Source organism: Homo sapiens, chromosome 5 (assembly GCF_000001405.40).
Source record: "Homo sapiens chromosome 5, GRCh38.p14 Primary Assembly".
Lineage (NCBI taxonomy): Eukaryota > Metazoa > Chordata > Mammalia > Primates > Hominidae > Homo > Homo sapiens.
Window position 1 is genome coordinate 15,581,890 of NC_000005.10, and position 20,196 is coordinate 15,602,085.

General features: G+C 41.4%; 1 protein-coding gene across 4 annotated transcripts in view; it reads left to right on the top strand.

The window, feature by feature from the left end:
- FBXL7 (F-box and leucine rich repeat protein 7) overlaps positions 1 to 20,196 on the top strand; it is a 439,614-nt gene that overhangs the window by 81,710 nt on the left and 337,708 nt on the right. Inside the window, exons 1-2 of one of the 4 annotated variants that reach the window (XM_047417000.1) lie at positions 17,173 to 18,920; positions 19,530 to 19,633. The exons of the other annotated variants lie outside the window; for them this stretch is intronic. The gene's annotated coding sequence lies outside the window, so the exon portion shown is untranslated. Of the gene's footprint in view, positions 1 to 17,172; positions 18,921 to 19,529; positions 19,634 to 20,196 lie in introns of those variants that run through there. 4 annotated transcript variants of the gene reach the window in all.

The window sequence follows — 20,196 nt, forward strand, 5'->3', positions numbered from 1 at the left end:
ACATGGTCTTGCTCTGACCATACTCTTTGAGCTAAAATACATTCCAGATAGATGATTTCTTTTTTTGAAACAGGATCGCATTCTGTGTCCCAGGCTGGAGTGCAGTGGCATGATCTTAGCTCATTGCAACCTCCATCTCCCAGGTTCAGGCGATCCTCCTGCCTCAGCCTCCCAAGTAGCTGGGATTACAGGCATGTGCCACCATGCCTGGCTAATTTTTTGTGTTTTTAGTAGAGATGGGGCTTTGCCACGTTGGCCAGGCTGGTCTCAAACTCCTGACCTCAAGTGATCCACCCACCTCAGCCTCCCAGAGTGCTGGGATTACAGGTGTGAGGCACCACACCCAGCCCAAATAGATGAAAGGTTGAAATGCATGCACTGAAAATTGAAGAGGTACTAGAAGAACATAAGCAGAGACTTTTTTCTACTCTGGATAAGAGAAATCGGCTTAATATTAGGATATGCTGAATCATAGGAAGCGATGGATCAATTTGATCTTCTCTGTTCTTGTATGATGGAAAAAAGGAAAGAGAAATCTCCTATATGTTCATACAAGGGTAACTACATATATGCCACTCCATACCTGTGGAGTTATCCCATCTGTGACCTCTTTTCATTCAGCAGTTTCATAGACAACATTGCCATGCCAATGAGAGCATCAGGACTTCCTCGAGATGTCAGTGACAGTTTACTTGACCAATTCCATGTTATTCTTCCTCATTTCTTCACTCATATAAATGATTAGATAAACAGCTTTGAGTATAACACCTTTAGAATGTGTGCAGTTTCTTAGGTTAAATTCTGGGAAGTCTTAGGTGAAAGACTCTGCTGCGTTTACATTCAATACATGATGTGCAATTGCCCTTCATTTCCATACTACTAGAGGCTACCAAGTGCTTGAGCCCCCTCACCCTACTAATGAAGTTTCAGTCAATCTTTCCAAATCTTTTATAGTCTGACTAACAAAACAATTTCCTTTTATATTAATCATTATCATCATCGAGACAGAATATTGGTGACTCACCTAATCCTCTCCTTGGCTCATGTTTTTTTTTTTTTTTGTGGGGATGTTGTATTAGTCTATTTTCATACTGCTATAAAGAACTTCCCTGAGACTGGGTAATTTACAAAGGAAAGAGGTTTAATTAATTCACACTTCAGTATGGCTGGAGAGGCCTCAGAAAACTTACAGTCATGGCAGAAGGGGAAGCAGGCATGTCTTACATGGTGGCAGGTGAGAGAGAGCAGGGGAAACTGCCACTTATAAAAACATCAGATCTTACGAGAACTCACTCATTATCACAAGAACAACATGGGGGAAACTGCCCACATGATCCAGTCACCTCCCAGCAGGTCTCTCCCTCGACACCTGGGGATTACAATTTGAGATGAGATTTGGATGGGGACACAGAACCAAACCATATCATTCTGCTCCTGGCCCCTCCCAAATCTCTTTCCAACATTCCCCCAAAGTCTTAACCCATGTCAGCATTAATTCAAAAGTCCACAATCCAAAGTCTCATCTGAGAGAAGGAAAGTGCCTTCTACCTGTGAGCTGGTAAAATAAAACACAAATTAGTTCCTTCCAAGATACAATGGGGGTGCAGGCATTGGGTAAACATACTGGTTACAAATGGGAGAAATTGGCCAAAACAAAGGGGCTGTGGTCCCCATGCAAGTCCAAAATCCAGCAGGGGAGTCATTAAATCTTAAAGCTCCAAAATGATCTCCTTTGACTGTATGTCTCACATCTAGGGCATGCTTATGCAAGGGGTGGGCTCCCACGGCCTTGGACAGCTGCTTCACAGGCTGTCGTTGAGTGCCTGCAGCATTTCCTGGCACATGATGCAAGCTGTTGGTGGATCTACCATTCTGGGCTCTGGAGGATGATGGTCCTCTTCTCACGGCTCCACTAGGCAGTGCCCCAGTGGGGACTCTGTGTGGGGGTTCTGACTCCACATTTTCTTCAGACTGCCCTAGCAGAGGTTCTCCATAAGGGCTTCACCCCTACAGCAAACTTCTCTCTGGACATCCAGGCATTTCCAAACATCCTCTGAAATCTAAGAGGATGATCCCAAACCTCACTTCTTGGCTTCTCTGCACCCACAGGCTCAGTATTGTGTGGAAGTCGACAAGGCCTGGGGCTTGCACTCTCTGAAGCAGTGGCTCGAGCTGTACCTTGACCCCTTTTAACCGCAGCTGGAGCTGGAGTGGCTGGGATGCAGGGCACCAAATCTTGGGGCTGCACAGAGCAGCTGGGCCCTGGGCCTGGTCCACAAAATAATGTTTTCCTCCTAGTCCTCCAGGCCTGTGATGGGAGGGACTGCGGTGAAAGTCCTTGACCTGCTCTGGAGACATTTTCCCCATTGTCTGGGAGGTTAATATTTGACTCCTTGTTACTTATGAATTTCTCTTCCAGAAAATGGGTTTTTCTTTTCTACCACATGGCCAGGCTGCAAATTTTCCAAACTTTTATGCTCTGCTTCCCTTTTAACCATAAGTTCCAATTTCAGACCATTTCTCTCAAGTTCAAAGTTCCACAGATCTCTAGGGCAGGGGCAAAGTGCCACCAGTCTCTTTGCTGAAGCATAGCAAGTGTGACCTTTGCTCTAGTTTCCAGTAAACTCTCATCTTCATCTGAGACCACCTCAGCCTGGACTTCATTGTCTACATCACTATCAGCATTTTGGTCAAAACCATTCAAGTCTCTAGCAAGTTCCACAGATGACCACATCTTTCTTTCTCTTTCTGGGCTCTCCAAACTGTTCAAACCCTCTGCCCATTACCCAATTTCAAAGCTGCTTCCACATTTTCAGGTTACCTTTATAAAAGTACCCCACTCCTGGTACCAGTTTACTGTATTAGTCCATTTTCACACTGCTATAAAGAAATTCCCTGAGACTGGGTAATTTACAAAGGAAAGAGTTTCAATTGACTCACACTTCGGTATGGCTGTAGAGGCCTCAGGAAACTTACAGTCATGGTGGAAGGGTAAGCAGGCATGTCTTACATGGCAGCAGGCAGGAGAGAGCAGGGGAAACTGCCAATCACATACTATTACAAATTAGTTGTGTGGAGTTGTTAACACAGGTGCAGCAAAGCTTCAATTGGTATCCCTTTCAACTACTCTGCTGCCTGGTACTGCAAATAATTTATGATTTATAATTTATAATTAATTATTAAGAATTAAAATTTCTGTTAACTTCTCCTTAACTTAAAATGCAGATCTGTTTAAGCAGTGCAGTTTGGGAGATAGAAGGATTGCTCTCTGTGAAGTCTGAGAGCCTCCAACACATTCTATAAGAAGGGGACACATTTGTAATTTGCATTAGATGAAAGGAAAGACAGAAATGTACACTGAGACCAAACCATGAACCTAATTGTAATGCATGGTTACTCATTGTCCATGCTTGTAGGGAGAGATGAATCCAATTAAATGAGTCATATAAAAGATAAGATTTAGAAATGATGACAAATAAGAGTCATGTTTGTTCCAGGGATAGAAGAGCTACCTACTTACATGGAAAATTCATCACCTTAACACACCTCAAAGGTATTTTGCAGAGCAAAGAGAATGAACCGTTCAAAATTAAAAGTTAAATTTCAAAAGTGCCAACAGTCATCGTTAGCTAACTCACTTTACTATAAACATAGTAGTTTAAATAACATTTTCAATCACATTTTTCTTTGGGGTTTTAGTAGAGAAGCTCATGATTGTATGCCTGAGCTATGTTTATAGGAAGAAGGGAAATTTATACTCATTTTTCTTCTATCCAAGGCTCAGATACCATTAACTCTAACTCCATCAAGTTGCTAGCTGTGCCTAATGAATCCTGATGCCTTGTTAAAAGTGATATAGTTTTATGTTAGAGTTGTATCATATTAAATATTTTTTCAGACCCATTGGTATGCATTACACATGAGCATGTATCTTATTAAACGCAAATCAAATTCTTGTTCAAGGCTGGTCACACAAATGTGATCTTGTTTTTAATTGTTAAATGCCAGTGAATGGCTATTCCTGGAGGAAGCTTCCCTTTGGCTTATTTTAAAGTAGATGATGTAAAAATGATTAACTTAGGAATCAAGAAAATATGTGAAACTACAAGGCCTGGAGCCAGTCTCCTTAGTGAGAGCCCAATAAGCCCTTAAAAATATGTGCTGTCATTGCAAAGCTCATTTTTCCAAGTTGGGCTCCAATATTTGGCTAAGAACTTTCTTTTCTTTCCATGTTTGCTCTACACAGAATCTGGGGGGTATTAAGATTGATGAGGGAATCAGAGCTTGAGGTTTGGGAGCCAGCGTTAGCACTTCTGGGTGATGACAAATCATGTCTTAACTCCCTCCCTTTTAAAAAGTTTCTCCCCTCCCCTCCCCTCCCCCCTCCCCCTTGTCTTCTTTCTCTCTCTCTCCCCCCTCACCTCCCCCTCCACCTCCCTCTCCATCTCTCTCTTTCTCCCTCTCTGTTTCTCTTCCCCTCCCTTTCTCAATCTCTTTCTCAATATCTCTTGCCCCCTCCTTTTCTTTCCCAAAGCACAAAGTGATGGGTTGGAATGGAAACATATAACTTTCATGAAGTGTTCCCTACTTTAACCTCTGGGTGGAAAGCTGAAAACAAGGTTATTACTTTTGGACACTTTACCAAGAAGCTATGATGGAGAAACCTCTTATTACTACCCCTGGTTGAACCAGATCTCTAGCTCATGTTTCAAAAAACTACTCAGAATTCCATCTAAAGTGAAAACAATGAAGAATTGTCTACAGTCCAGGGATAGCACCATTACACATATTGAATTTACTTTCTAAATAACTGAGTCTTGCAGCTCTCAATCTAAACTACACATAGAAGTCAGGCTAAACTGTCAAATCAGTTCATGACTGTAAATCATCCTGGTAAAAACACTTTAAAAATTTCATGAAGAGAGCTATCTGGAGAATTTTAATAGAATAGAGACCGTTTAAATTTTCTTTTTAGTCATTTATCTGGTTAACGTTTACACCTGAGAATAGGTTGCCAAGACAGACCTTTAGGGAGATTTCGAGAGGTATCTCAAGTTCTATCTGTTTCTCTCCATCTCCACAGTCATTACCTGTGCCAAGCCACCATCATCTCCCACTGCAATGGCTTCTTTCACCTCCCTGATATTTCCTTCTGAACCTCAGTGGCCCGTTCATTACTCAGCAGCTAGCTTCATCTTTCATAACTAAAACCTGCCATTTGTCCTGCTGGAAAATCCGCCTGTGACTTCTACATTCATATGGACTACAGACACAATCTCTGTTGCTCCTTTTGGGTCTTGCATGATTCATCTCTTCCCAGTATCTCCCCACTTACTGGAATGCACCTGGCTGATGCTAAGATCAGGGCCTTTTTGTATTTCAAATCCTTGGCCTAGAATGGGCTTGCTTCTTCACTCTGCAGGGCTGACTCCTTCTCATTCCTTAGGTCTCAGCCCAAAGGTCCACAACTCAGCAAAGCCTTTTACTATGACCCCTTTATCTAAGGAGGCCTCTCTTTCATTGAGTAGTATCCTATGCATTTTCTCCAGGCACCAGGCAGGATTTGAAATTCCATGTTTATTTATTTTTGTTTCCTAATTATGTACTCTGTGTCTCTGAAGGTGGGAATCCGGTTTCCTTTGCTCATTATTGCAAACCTCAGCTTGGGCATTGTGTCTGAGACAGAGTATGTGTAGTTATCGTTCAAGAGTCCTGTGAGTTATGTATGAGTCTTGTCCCCCTTTTATAGATGAAGAAACTAAGGTACCTCAAATTTAAATAATTTTCTTAGGGTCCCAAAGCTATTAAGAGATGAAAACACTATTTGTTTTAACATAGATTGGATGAAACAATGAATGAATTGATGAATGTATTTTTATTCATCCAGCATGTGCCCTCTAGAGATAATAGTTTTAAAGATTAAAAAAGAAAATCTTAAAATGGGTCAAATAAAAGAAAAAGTCATTAAATAGGATATTTTTCTAGCTAAGGTGAAGGCTCTTCACATCCTTTAATTTCTCCATCCCCAGCTGTTTAGCATATGTTTTTGTTTTTCAAACTTTTTTTTTGGTTGTTGTTCCTAAAAACTCTCTGAATTCTGGGATCCTTGACAAAACCTCACTGTTATGCCAGGTTGAAACTCAGCCACCCTTATTTGCTCATTTTGCATCAGATTTAATGTCCAGCAGAGGCAAAACTGAGGTCACTGAGGTAAAACTAGACTTTTACTTTACAGCATTATGTCTGGTGTACAGTTGAATCCAAAGATTTATTGCTCAATGGTGGTAGATTGTGGAGACACTGTCTGGTGATTTATTTACTGTCAGAACTGAATGGTCATGTTTTTAACATGAATGCTGTTATTCCCAAAATAAGCTATCACTCTGAAATATTTTAGGCTGATTTTACTGCACATTGTAAATTACTGATGTGTAAATCAGTGACTTCACTCATCACACAGAGAAACTGTGGCACATGGCAAAAGCTATGTTGTAATTTTTTTTTTTTTTTTTTGAGATGGAGTTTCGCTCTTCATTGTCCAGGCTGGAGTGCAGTGGCACGATCTCGGGTCACTGCAACCTCTGCCTCCCAGGTTCAAGCGATTCTCCTGTCTCAGCCTCCTGAGTAGCTGGGGTTACAGGCTCCCACCACCACGTCTGGCTAATTTTTGTATTTTTAGTAGAGACAGGGTTTCAGCATGTTGGCTAGGCTGGTCTCAAACTCCTGACCTCAAGGGATCTGCCCACCTTGGCTTCCCAAAGTGCTGGGATTATAGGCGTGAGCCACCGCGCCCGGCCGCCATGTTGTAATTTTGACTCATTAACAGGTTGTATGAAATCGGGATATTTGTATTTAACTTTCTTCCCAATTGTAATGTGTATCTCTGACTTCTCTAGATGATCTGTTTCCATGCAGGTTATGGTAAAATTATTAAACTATGAGTTTTTGAAGGTCTATACAATTAGATCCTTACTTTGTTCAAACTGTGAAGATTTTAATCCAACCTCTTTCTTTTTTTAAAACTCAACTTATTTTTGTGTTCCTTCTAACACAGCTAATCTGTTTTCTTTATGTAGAAATCAGTGAGCTACTGTGGATCACAGAAGCCCTTTTCCTGAGAAATTTCAGATGATTTCTTGTTGTTGTAACTAATAGAATGACGTACAAAGTATGCTAACTGAGAAAGAAAGGTGGATATACAAGAGGAAGAATAGCGAGAAACTCCATGCTCCTGACCCAGCGTCTAGTAACTTTGGGTATTAGTAAGCAAACCATTTGTTGTCTGTATTTCTGCCTGGACACTGTGGATGCAGTGAGGGGTACATCATGCTGTATATTTGATATGGTTTGGATTTCTGTCCCCGCCCAAATCTCATGTTGATTTGTAATCCCCAATGTTGGAGGAGGAGACTTGTGGGGGATGATTGAATCTCGGGGGTGGATTTCCCCCGGCTTTTCTCATGATAGTGAGTTCTTACAAGATCTGGTTGTTTAAAAGTATGTAGTGCCTCCTCCTCCTCTCTCTTCCTCCTTCTCCAGCCAGGCAAGTTGTGCCTGCTTCCCCTTTGTCTTCGGCCGTGATTGTAAGTTTCCCGAGGCTTCCCCGGCTATGCTTCCTATACAGCCTGCAGAACTGTAAACCCACTAAACCTCTTTTCTTTATAAACTACCCAGCTTCAAGTATTTCTTTATAGTAGTGCGAGAAGGGACTAATACAGTATTTGTGCATAAAAAGTCTTGATGAATTGCATGATTTATTTTTCTATTCTTCAAATCAGAAGAAAAGGCTTTGGAAGTTATTATCTTAAGAAGCTTAAAAGAGAGGGTACCTTGGTGGGGTAACATCAGGCCATGCATTGATGTTTTTGTTTTCTGGATTCCCCTGTTGGTTTTCCAATCCAGCCATGGCATAGCCAGCGTGTCCTCAATGTCATCATCAGAGGTGATGATGCACAAATGAGATTCAGGCAGTGGCTGTGGAACACTATGGGTCCACATGCTTCAGTGGCTTCTCCATCTGCTCTGCAGCTCATGAATGTTGCTGTGAATAATTGCCTTCACTTGATCCTCTGTGTTTCTAAAAACAATGAAGGTTGGGACTTCATTCACCATCCCATGTTCCTACCATGTTTTTTCTTAAAAGAATGATCTTTGTTTTCAATCTCTCTTAAGATATCTTTGACCTTGGGAGTAAATGGTGTTAGGAAGATATGCTTGGAAGAGGGAAGTGGGAGAGAGAAGAGCTATGGAGTAATGGACAGACTGGGCCACGTTTACTCCTCTGAACACTTGAGAAAATCATCCTAGGTGCCACCTGGAATTTATCTGCTGCCTCATCTGTCCAATCACAAATTCCTTGTGTTTCTACTGGATTTACATCTCTTGGATTTATTGATTTATTTTCAACCATCATTGCTACCTCCATAACAGCTTTCTAACCAGACTCGCTGCCTCTACTTTTACTACCTCCAGTCCCTTCTCTAAGCTTGACCTAGCTTTCTGCAATCTGATATGCCAGTCTGCTTGTTATAATCCTTCAAAGATTCCTCACTGCTCTCTGGATAGAGTTCAAGTTCCCTACCATGGTCTGCAAGACTTCAAGTTTCACCTCTACCTCCCACCTCCTTTTTCTCTTTTATCTGTCTTCTCTAGCCCTAGTAAATAATCTGTGGTTGTTGAATGCTCAATGTTCCCTTTTGCTTCTGGGCCTCTCATTCTCCTTGGGATGCCCATTTTCTATTGTGTAACTTTCCAGACCACCTTATTGCCCCCAATCAGGTCTGAGCAACTTGCCTTTATTTATAGCCACTGTAGTGGTGATTACAGTGATCAGATTAGTCCTCCCCTGGACTGTGGATGTGTTGAGAGGCGTTGAGAGCAGAGATGATGCCACTGTTAGGTTCCCAGCTCCTAAGTCCTGCTCGATAAAGCAGGAACTAGATCAATATAAATTACTGAGTCACATAGCTTTATTGGGGAAAATGCTTCTAGTTAACCTAAAAGTTGTATTATTATTTTATGTTCTGTCTCTTTTTCCTTTCTATTTTTATAGGATGAAGAATTCTTTATAAAGAAGGCAGATTTTTAGTTGTGTAAATAACAAGTCTAGGACCACAAGGACCACAGCTTGCCCTTTTTATTCCCATAGTATTTCATAAATTCAGGTCTGCATCTCCTCAGACTTGAATGATTACAATTCCATTTTGCCCATGGGTGGTAGCAGATTGTGACAGTTTTTCATTAAGAGTGGAGAATTTAGGCCAGGCGCAGTGGCTCACACCTGTAATCCCAGCACTTTGGGAGGCCGAGGCGGGTGGATCACGAGGTCAGGAGATGGAGACCATCCTGGCTAACATGGTGAAACTCTGTCTCTACTAAAAATACAAAAAGTTAGCTGGGCATGGTGGCGGGCGCCTGTAGTCCCAGCTACTCGGGAGGCTGAGGCAGGAGAATGGTGTGAATCCGGGAGGTGGAGCTTGCAGTGAGCTGTGATCGCACCACTGCACTCCAGCCTGGGCAACAGAGTGAGACTCTGTCTCAAAAAAAAAAAAAAAGACTGGAGAATTTTACCATGGGGCTAGGCATTCAAGTAGAAATTGCACCTTATAAAATGAAAATAATATTCTTGTTAAAGGTTTGGGCACCTAGGAAGGCTGAGGGTAAATGGAAGGCCTAGGACCAAAGCCCGAGTCGAGAAGTGGCAGCTTCCATTTTTCTCCCACAATTGGCAGGGACAGGAGCTCAAATAACATCAGTCCCCTCTGCCCCAGATCTTGTGATGTGAGTCTTGAAATTTGTGAGGAATAAGGTTGGCCTCTTATTATTTATTTATTTACTTTTGAGATGGAGTCTTGCTCTGTCACCAGGCTGGAGTGCAGTGTCACGATCTTGGCTCACTGCAACCTCCACCTCCCGGGTTCAAGCGATTCTTCTGCCTCAGCCTCCTGAGTAGCTAGGACTACAGGCACGCACCACCACACCCAGCTAATTCTTTGTATTTTTAGTAGAGATGGGGTTTCACCATGTTGGCCAGGATGGTCTTGATCTCTTGACCTTGTGATCCGCCCGCCTTGGCCTCCTGAAGTTCTGGGATTACAGGTGTGAGCCACCGTGCCCGAGGTTGGCCACATCTTTAGCCATCTGGCTACTGTGGTAGGAGGGTCACTCTAAATCCCACTACACTGAAGCATCTCAGAGACACATAATAACCTTTGAGCTGAACAAGTCTACATTGGACACCTACTGTGTTCATGCTCTGAGGAAATGAGGCTCAGAGAACTTAAGTCTCTTACCTGCAAAATTCTAGAACGTGGCCTAGGATTTAGGCCTTCTATCTGTCCATCCTCTGCCCCAGTTTTATATTCTTCACCCACAAACTTGATAGGTCATCTGTTTAACTTTTGATGGAACAGCAGCAGCATGGAGATGAGTTTTGGAGTGAGATGCACCTGGCTCTGGGATACAGTTGCCCAGGGATCATGGGCAATTTAAGTTCCTGCGCTCCAGTTCTCTCACCTTGAAAATAGAGAGCTTAGCCCATAAGCTCATTGTGAAGATTTAATGTCAGATTATATATATAAAGTGCCAACTACACAGCTTGACGCCATCACAAATATTCTTTTTTTTCTATAGAGTGCCTGACACCTACACTATTTTGCAGTTTAAGTTCAGGCTTTCCATTTTAAATGTGAGTACTGCTGACAGCCTCATGGAAATGTTGTGCCATTTGTCCCTAAGTGTGTTTTATAATAACGGATTTGAAGACCGGGCTTATCAGAGGGAGGAGAAGATTTGTATACACATCTAGTCCGGACCTTTAGTTTTTGGAGTTGTTTGTTTTCTGTATAAATTTAAAATGGAAAATTATGCTCCTAACCTTTAGGTCACACAGAGAAAAGAAGTTTTATTAGTGAGAGGTCATTATTTGAAGTGTATAATGGATAGTCTGTTTACCTCAGATTTTAGCCTCGAGCTAAAATTTTGTTTGTACTTGTAAATGAATAGCAAAAAGAGTAGTGATGAAAGACAGAGTCCAGGATAAGATGCGTATCACACACAAGGGAAGTATGATCAGCTGTAGGCTGCTGTATGGTTAGGCATTTGGTTGAATACTGGGAAATACTTAAGGCGAGGCAGTAAAACGATTCTCCTGATAGAGTACCAGTCCTAGAAAACATTTGAAATTTTAGAGCCTTTAAAGTGAAAAGTGGACAGACTGAAGCCAGTTAGCTTTACAGGGATCAGCTGGTGAATATTTGCTTGACATTTTGTTCCCTGCGTGCCCCTTCCTCCCTCTCACTTCCTCTGGATTGTTTCTGCTAGTTGCCTCTCCTTTAGAAATAAGCAGGCCTGGGCAGGGTGCAGTGGCTCACACCTATAATCCCAACACTTTGGGAGGCCGAGGCAGGTGGATCACCTGAGGTCAGGAGTTCAAGACCTGCCTGGCCAACATTGTGAGACTCCAGCTCTACTAAAAATACAAAAATTAGCCAGGTGTGGTGGTGGGTACCTGTAATCCCAGCTTCTAGGGAGGCTGAGGCAGGAGAATTGCTTGAACCCAGGAGGCGGAGGCTAGAGTGATCTGAGATCGCCCCACTGCACTCTAGTCTGGGCGACAGAGGTAGACTCCATCTCAAAAAAGAAATAAGCAGGCCTTAGTCTTTCTCTGCTTGGTGTGGAATTCTCATTAAGTTTGCTGGTGCAAAGATTTAGATTAGCACTTAATAGCTGATTTTCCTAGCTTTTATAAAAAGCTAAATAGTTTAAGAGATAGACATAAAAATGTACAGGTTTTTTGTTTTAAATTTGTTTAATTTGTGTAACAAATATTTTTTATCCCTTTTTGGAGTTGGTGAATTTGTTCTCTTTTTGCTGAATATATGCTATTTCTCTGTGCTAATTGGCAACTCACTATGGATGGCACTATATACTCCAGAGAAAAATTCAGTGTATGTAACTACGTCTTGGGCACTATCCAATGAAATTTAGTTATTTTCATATTCAATACCAACCTTGGAAGGTAACCCCAAAGAAATGTTTATAATTAGTTTGAACCATATGACAGTGTTGATTTTGAACCTTTTTAACCTATGAAAATGGCAATTTCTTATGGTTCAACATTATACTAAAGATTCATTCTACTCATTTCTTTCCTTAGACTAAATGACTTTGTCCAGTGCTCACAATATGTTCTATATACATTAGACACTTAGTATTTATTTGTTGGTGGAGTTTATTTGAGTGATTAATTGGGTAAGTTTTTAAGGCATTTGCCTCCACTGCTACACCATGCAATGAAAGGGAAATATTGTCCTTTTGAATGAGGTTGAGAAGGCTAAACAGGAGGTTTCACATCTTGGTTTTCCAGGCTTTTCATTGAACGTGGAGGGCGGACATATGGTGGGTCAGAGAGGTCAAGAATTTGGTAAGGCATTTGAAAAGAAAACAGTTGAAAAGGTTAAAAGTGTATCTGTTCTGATCTTGGGCGGTCCACGCTAGAAAACTACTCTTTGAAATGGTGTTTCCATTTCTTACGCGGTGGTAAGGGAGGTATATTTTGCGTGAATGATGGGAGTACCCATTGGCCTCTCACCAGACAGTCTGAATTCCTGATGTGTGTCGCCCAGGGCTAGAAACAGGAGCATGACTGCTACTCCCAGCTCACACTGGGGATGGAGGTGGGAGATAGTGGGCTTGTCCTTGGTATTGGAGCTGCAGTACGGCTTCAGAGACCTGAAGAGGCTGCTGCTAGAGAAGGGGCCAGTCCAAAATAGAGACTCACAGACTGCTTTGGAAATGTTCCGGGAATCAGGTTTTCAGAGTTATAGACTGGCTCTTTGCGTATAACCTGTACCAGTGACATACTATATACTCCAGCTATTGCTGACAACAATATCAGAATGACCTCTCTTCTTTGCATGTTGCAGAAGTTCCTGATTGCAGGAGAAACGCTGTCTTCTCTCTGATTCTCTGTGTGTCCATTCCCATTGCTAAGTTTAGCTGCCTTGCTATGATCCTCTGTGCATCTGTCATAGTGATGTGGAATCCTAGTCAGTCTTACATTTAAAAATATATACCTGTATGTGACAAGAGGTTCACCCTGACCTTTTTGCTTTTGTTTCCCAGTATCTAGAACATTGCCATCAGCAGCAGTAAACTTCTCCCATGGGCTCCACGTGTAGTCTTTTCGCCAGCTGCAGTGTGTACAAGACTATGATCCCAGGGCATGTAAGAAGATAGGAATGCAGTGCAGTGAGAAAATATACATAAAAACAAATTGGTATAATCCCAAGAGTACTATAAGTGTCAGTTGTGATTATTACTACGTTAAGTGCCAAATGACTGTAAATGGTACAACATTCCAAGTGGGGAAGGGATCTCAGAGACCCAGAAAGGCTGCTGTGGAGGAGTTGAAAATGGATCGGGAGGGGAAGAGATGTAATTCGAAGCTTGGAAGAGTTGGAACAGGGGTATGAAGCAGTGCTGCATGTGACGAGTGTGGGGAATTGCAGGCAGACCAGATCGGCTGAGGTACAGGGAGGAAAGAAGCACCTGGAGAGATCTGGCCTGAATTCTTTAATTTGATAATTAATTCAGAATAAATTATTTAGATTGCAGGCTGAGGGAGGGATTTAATTTTGAAGTATTATACAACTGTATTAATCTGCACTCTTGCAACAGTATTACTAGGTAACATTTGTTGAGCACTTACTATGTGCCAAGCTTCCAACTAGGTGCTTTACATGTGTTAATTCATAGAAAATCTGGGATACCATTTTATAAATAAGAACACTGAGGCAGAGAGTTAAGCATCTTTCCAAAGTCAAGCAAATGAATAGTAGCAAAAAGATGTAAATCGAAGTGCATTGACTCCAGCATCTGGGCTTTTCATCCAAGGCTACAGTAAAAATCTAAGGAGATGATGTGGTGTGGTGGTGAGGTCTCTGATGCCTGGAGCTTTTTCTTACAAGCTCTGGGACAGTTATACAGTCCTTACCTTAGTTTCTTCATGAGGTCAATGAGAGTAGTCCCAGGGGTCCTATCTCAGCAGGTAGATGGGATTTGGTGAAATAACATGAAATAACAAGATCGCAGAACACACTCATTAGGGCTGCTGTAAGAGTTAAGGGGACATCGCAGTCCTAATCCTCTTGCATGACAGAAGGGAAAAATGGAGACTTACAGATATTAAGGGGTTTGTTCAAGTACACAGTTGGAATTAGAATGAAGCACTCTTGTCTGTAAAATCAAGGACTGTTGACTCAACTGCATTAAACCAGTTAAATCAGAATGAATGGTCATGCCAAAACCGGGCTAAGGTATGCTTCTGAAATAACTAAGAAAAAGGCATTTTTAAAGTACATTCTGTCTTTAGATTAAAAAAGCATGGTATAATTCATTTTTGTGTGGTATGTATAGAGTCTTTTTTGTTTTTAATAGATGAGTAATTATTCAGCACTAATTCTTGTCTCCTTTTTTTATATGGGTTTTCTTCACATTAAAATAAAAATAAATGTCAACTCAGAATTTAGGTAGGCCAAGGCAGGAGGGATTGCTTGAGCCCAGGAGTTCAAGACAAGCCTGGGTAACATAGTGGGACCCTGTCTCCACAAAAATAAGTAAGAATTTGGTAAGGCACTTGAAAAGTAAATGCTTGAATTAAATTAAGAAAAAAATTTACAAAGTTGTGCATACCATATATTCCTATTCCAAACCCACAAGGGCAGTGCCTGCCTGAACCAGAGTAAAAGACTGACTTTATTTCCCCTACATTCTGGGCACAGAATCCCCAAGGCGGGGAGAAGGGCTGAAGGTTGAGTTGATCACCAATGGCTAATGATGAAATCAATCATGCCTATGTAATGAAGCCTCCATAAGACTCAAAAGGACAGGGCTAGGAGAGCTTCCAGAAAGCTGAATGCATGGAACTTCCTGGAGGGTGGTGCACCCAGAGAGGGCATGGACGCTCCATGCCCCTTCCCACATACCTCGCCCTGTGCATCTCTTCATCTCTATCCTTTGCAATATCCTTTATAGTAAGCCAGTAAACCTAAGTAAGTGTTTGCCTAAGTTCTGTGAATTATCCTAGTAAATTAATCAAACCCAAGGAGGAGGTCATGGAAACCTCATTTTGTAGCCAGTTGATTAGAAGTATGAGTGGGCTGGACATGTGATTGGCATCTAAAGTGGGGGCAGCCTTGTGGGACTGAGCCCTTAACCTGTGAAATCTGACACTATCTTTAGGTAGATAGCATCAGAATTGAATTGAATTCTAGGATACCCAGCTGGAGAATCTGCTGCAGAATTGATTGCTTGCTTGCTTGTTGGTGGGGAGAAACCACCATCCGCACACATTTTGGTGACCAGAAGTCACAGAAGCAACTGTGTTGTATTGAGAGCAGAGAATAAAAATACAGCAATTTGGTTTTGCCTCTATTTCCTATATGTTAAAATGGGTGCCAGGGACAGGAGGGAAAATACTTAGGCCCAAATACTTGATTGCATCTCATTTTTATAAAAGATATATAAATCTTGAAGCCAGTAAGCTTATTCTGCCTGTCCCAAACCATATATGTGAAAATATCTCTCTAGATAATATCATTTTGTAAAAAAAAAAAAAAAAAAAAAAAATCTGAAATGCCTGAAATTCTTTTAATTTCAACGAGTTGAAGGCCTACAAATTACGTTCCAACACAGTTTTACAAGAAGGCGTGTGAAGAAGGCCTAGAGCAGAGAAAGATTTTAATGTGTAGATTGAAAGCTTCAATCCCTGGCCCTGTTCTTCCTTTAGACTAGAGGGAAAAGTAGTTCGAATGTTCCCTTCACCTTTATGGATGAAGTGATGCCTTCATGCTAGAAGAGTTTGGGAAAAGAATTCTCAGGAATTTTACAATTATTAATCAAGTCTCAGTACATCAAGAAAAAGAATGAGAAAAGGAATAACAGCTATCCCTGGACTATTTGATCTATTCTGGCTCAAAGGCAAAGCTATTATATTTTCAAAAGAGAAGAGAGATTAGCTCCTAAGTTGTTATATTCAAGAACTATTCCAGTTTCAGGCAAGATTTATTTTGCTTAATGTATCTCCTTTTATAGAAGCCAGACCTTTCCCTTCACTGGCTGCTGCAAACCTTAACTTAGGTTATGACCGCAATTTATATGATAAAAGGGCTGTAAATGCAAAATTTAGGGGGAGTGATTTTTTAAAAAATGCATAAAGCTTTGAAAAATACATCATAGATTATAGGTGGAAGCTGAATTAAAGTTTTTCAAAGAGGAAAGAGACCTACCAGGTCATCTGTTTATTACCCAGAGTACATTAAACTGTTTTCCAGCCTTATCAGATTCATCATGTGGCTAAGTATAATGCTTCTTATTTCTACTTGGTTGTGCTTATTTAAAACATTACAATCCATCACTCTCAAAATTATTACTTTATACTTATTCAACCTTTCATAGAGTCAGTCTAAAATTAAAAAATGCTCTTTTCATATGGAAAAAAGTGTCTTACTTTAGGATGAAGATTTTTTTTCCCTTGAATTTGAGATACACCTTTGGTTAAGCATAAAATTGCTGCAGTTCCAACGTTTACCACCAGGTGCAGCAGACAGACTGTCTTTTCTGGGTTCACATAACTGAGAAAGAAGTCCAGTGGTAGGGTGGGTGTTGGGACCCATTAACTGGTAATGGCTCAGTGATATCCTTACCTGATTTTTTTTGTCATTGTTTTGCCATGTGCATTTTTATTGAAATTGTTGACTCTCCTTTGTAATACAGTATGGCGTCCAACAAGGCCTATGGTTATATCCAGAGAGAGAGAAAGAGAGCACGCATCTCTTTCTTTACCAATGAATAACTTTGATCATTTATCTGCCCCTCACTCCCCCTCCTTGTCTTCCTGAGCAATCACTGGGCAATGAGGATGGGTCTGTGTTGATGGGCTTAGGGTAAATAGAGCTCCTTGATAGAATAGAGGTGACATCAGTCTCACCCAACCATGTGGCAGCAACACAAAGTTAGGGATGAAATGGATTCAGAATTGAGGGCAATTGCTGCATTCAGTGTACTCTCGTAGCTCCTCCTTCCTACAAATTGTAGTAGTAGAAAGATTCTGGTTATCTGTGAGGTACTCTGTAGCTGCCATTTATACTTTCTCTGTTTCTCTGTGCTCAGAGATGCCTACTGGTGGACGTGATCACTTTTACTCCTGTTAAATAGAATTGCAGCTTCCCACCATGGGCCAAAGGAAGCCTCCTGCTGCAAGGACAGTGGAAGAGACAGGGAGGAAAATAATGATGCTCTTAGGGGACATAGCAGGTAATAAAATTGGGACCTTCATTTGGGGACTAAGAAGATCATATTAGATTCTCAAGTTCAAGTCACACCCCAAAGAGAAGAGACAGCAGTGAAATAATCCAGCTATGCTTTGGTGGCTGAAATACACATATGTGGATATGTGTGTGTGTTTGTATGTGTGTGTATGTGTGTATGCATATATATATTTATGTGTGTGTGTACATGTTACAAACAGAAAATTTCAATTTAGGAAGAGAAAGTTGGCTAAAAACCCTATCTTATCCATTCTTCCACTTAGCTTTTAGGTCTTTTTGGATCATGGTTTGGGATTGTAAAGTGGTTTGTAGTTTTGCTAGAAGGCTGACGACATTTTGGGCAGAGAGAAGTGAAGAATGTGAGTGTGGAAAGCTGAAATGGGTCTTGAAGATGATCTCCTCCAGTTTTCCTTTCCCCAATCAGAGGTACAGAAATAGATGTTGAGAAGCATTAAGGTAGCTTACTCAGGGCTCCCCCAGTTATTAAGGGAGTCAGTGTGAAATTGAGCTGTAGATTTCACTTTCTCCATTTCACTGCTTAGCTATATTTAGTTTTCTGTGGTAGGAAAACTTGTTTGTTATGTCAGCTGAAAAATGACGAGGTTCATAAATTTGGAAAGGAGAGCTTTATTTCTCAGAAAGGGTTGCAGCCTGCAGGGTGGCCATTATGACAGGTGGGGAAGCATAGCCTCTGCTTAGAAGCCAGAAACAGACATGTCAAGGGTGGGAAGAATAACACAGGGATTTATACTGAATGAGATGGCCAAATACACATATTCAATAAGAAGCTATAGGAGCAGTCATGAATATTGATGAAAGGAGAAACATGCACATGCTCAAATGAGCTTCATGCTGCCTCATAGGACGCATGTTCAAAAAATGGCAGCATTAGGATTATCCAAGGGTGGTGTTTTCAGCCATCTGTTGTCAAAAGGTGAAGCAGAGGACATGAAAACCTTCACTGCGTATCCTCTGTAGACTGGCCAGAACCACTCTGTGGTCAGTGGTCTCTTATCAGGAAGGAATGCTGGTGGATTGGATTGTCAGAACCACAGAAGGGAGGGGCACCGTCAGGCAGTTAGTTGATATCAGTGGTGCAGTCTTTTGAAAAGGCTTATTTCTCTTTAACCCTTGGGGAAGAAAGTGAGGGAGGGGTATAACAAGGCATGCCCACCCTCCCTTCCTGTCATGGCTGGGAAATCGGCTTTCAAGGTTTTTCTGGAGTCCCCTTGACCAAGAGTGGGGGTCTGTTCATTTGGTAGGGGGCCTTAGAATTTTATTTTTATTTCTCAGTTATAATTCTCTTTACCAAAAAGGACTGTTTGAACCTTCTCATTTCTTGATACAGAATTTTGATAGTCAACTTTTGCTTATGATTGTTTGATAAATGGGCAATGGGAGGTGGGAAACATAGCGGGATCTTAAAATTGTTTTGCATTAAATAAGATTAAGATCTTACATATATAATCCCTTTTTCTCTTGTGCTGTTGGTAGGATTATACCATGCATGAAAGGAGGAGAATCAATGCCTTTTAAAATTTATTGTTCAGAATTTTCACTAATTTAGACTGATCTTCAGTGATAATTAAGGTAAATATGCTTTGTATGAAAACCCTCAAAAATCAATGAGTGACAGTAAGGCACAAAGGTCTGTAACTGTCTGTCTGTCTTTTGCTGGGGTTGAGCCACCTCTAGCCACACAGACTCAAAGGATAATGCTGCCTCTCTTTTCACTACATTCTCTGTTGAAAGGTGATACTAGTATTTTCTCCACTGTTTCCCTGCTCCCAAAATCCTGCAAGAAGTAACCTTTATGGCTGAGATGGCTTGGTTATGGAATTGTGTGTAACATGGGATGCTGAATGAATGAATGAGTGACTCAGAAGAGGCAGTTATGGATTTATTGACACCAGAGGCTCTTGATGCCAAGAAATGAACACATGGCTTCTAAGGTGCTCCCAGATTGTGTAGAACCACCAGTGAACTTTAGAAAGAACACTGGTCTTTTATTATACATCCAGATTATGCAAGACACAAGTCTTTTCATGATCTGTGAGATCTTGGGAGTGGTGCAAATTGTAGTGATGTTATTAGCGTAAAAATGACTTTTGATTGATTTGTATTACAATGGAAATTCTTGTGTTAATGCATGTACCCTTAGCCCGTGCAGCACTCTGATCTTCTCATTACTCTCTTCAGAAACCCAGCTGTGAAGCACCATCTGTCAGCAGCCGCAGCAGCATCTGTCTCAGTGTCAGCTGGCATCTGTGTTAACTCTTGCACAATTGCCTAAAGGCCTGTAGGTGGGTGTGTGGGAAGGGGAAGCTCTGCCCTGGTACCTTTAGTGACATATTGCCTGCTCTTTTAGACTTGAAACCACCCATGCTGGGGTGCCAAGTGCCTGCTTTTTCACAAGCTGGGGGACTCTTTGAGATTTCTAGCATTCCACGATACATTCAATCTTACTTGCTCATCTTTATTTTCCACCCGTAATAATACTGCCATTCAATGAAACTTGAACAAATGATCATTTGAGAGACTCAGGGTAGGATTTTCTGCTATTTAATTCGGCAGAAAATAATGTTGGAGTATCTGCTGGGTTGGAGAATGTCCTCCTCTTCACCCCACAATGTATGTCCCTCCTGGAACATCAGCATGTGACCTTATTTGGAAATAGGGTTGTTGCACATAAAATTAGTTTTAAGATAGAGACATACTGAGTAGGGTGACCCTTGATCTAATATGACTGATGTCCTTATGAAAAGAGACACAGAGGCACACAGAGGGAAGACAGCCATGTGATGACTAAGGCTGCACCTGGAGTTCTGCTGGCACAAACCAACCAATGCCAAGGATTGCTGGCAAC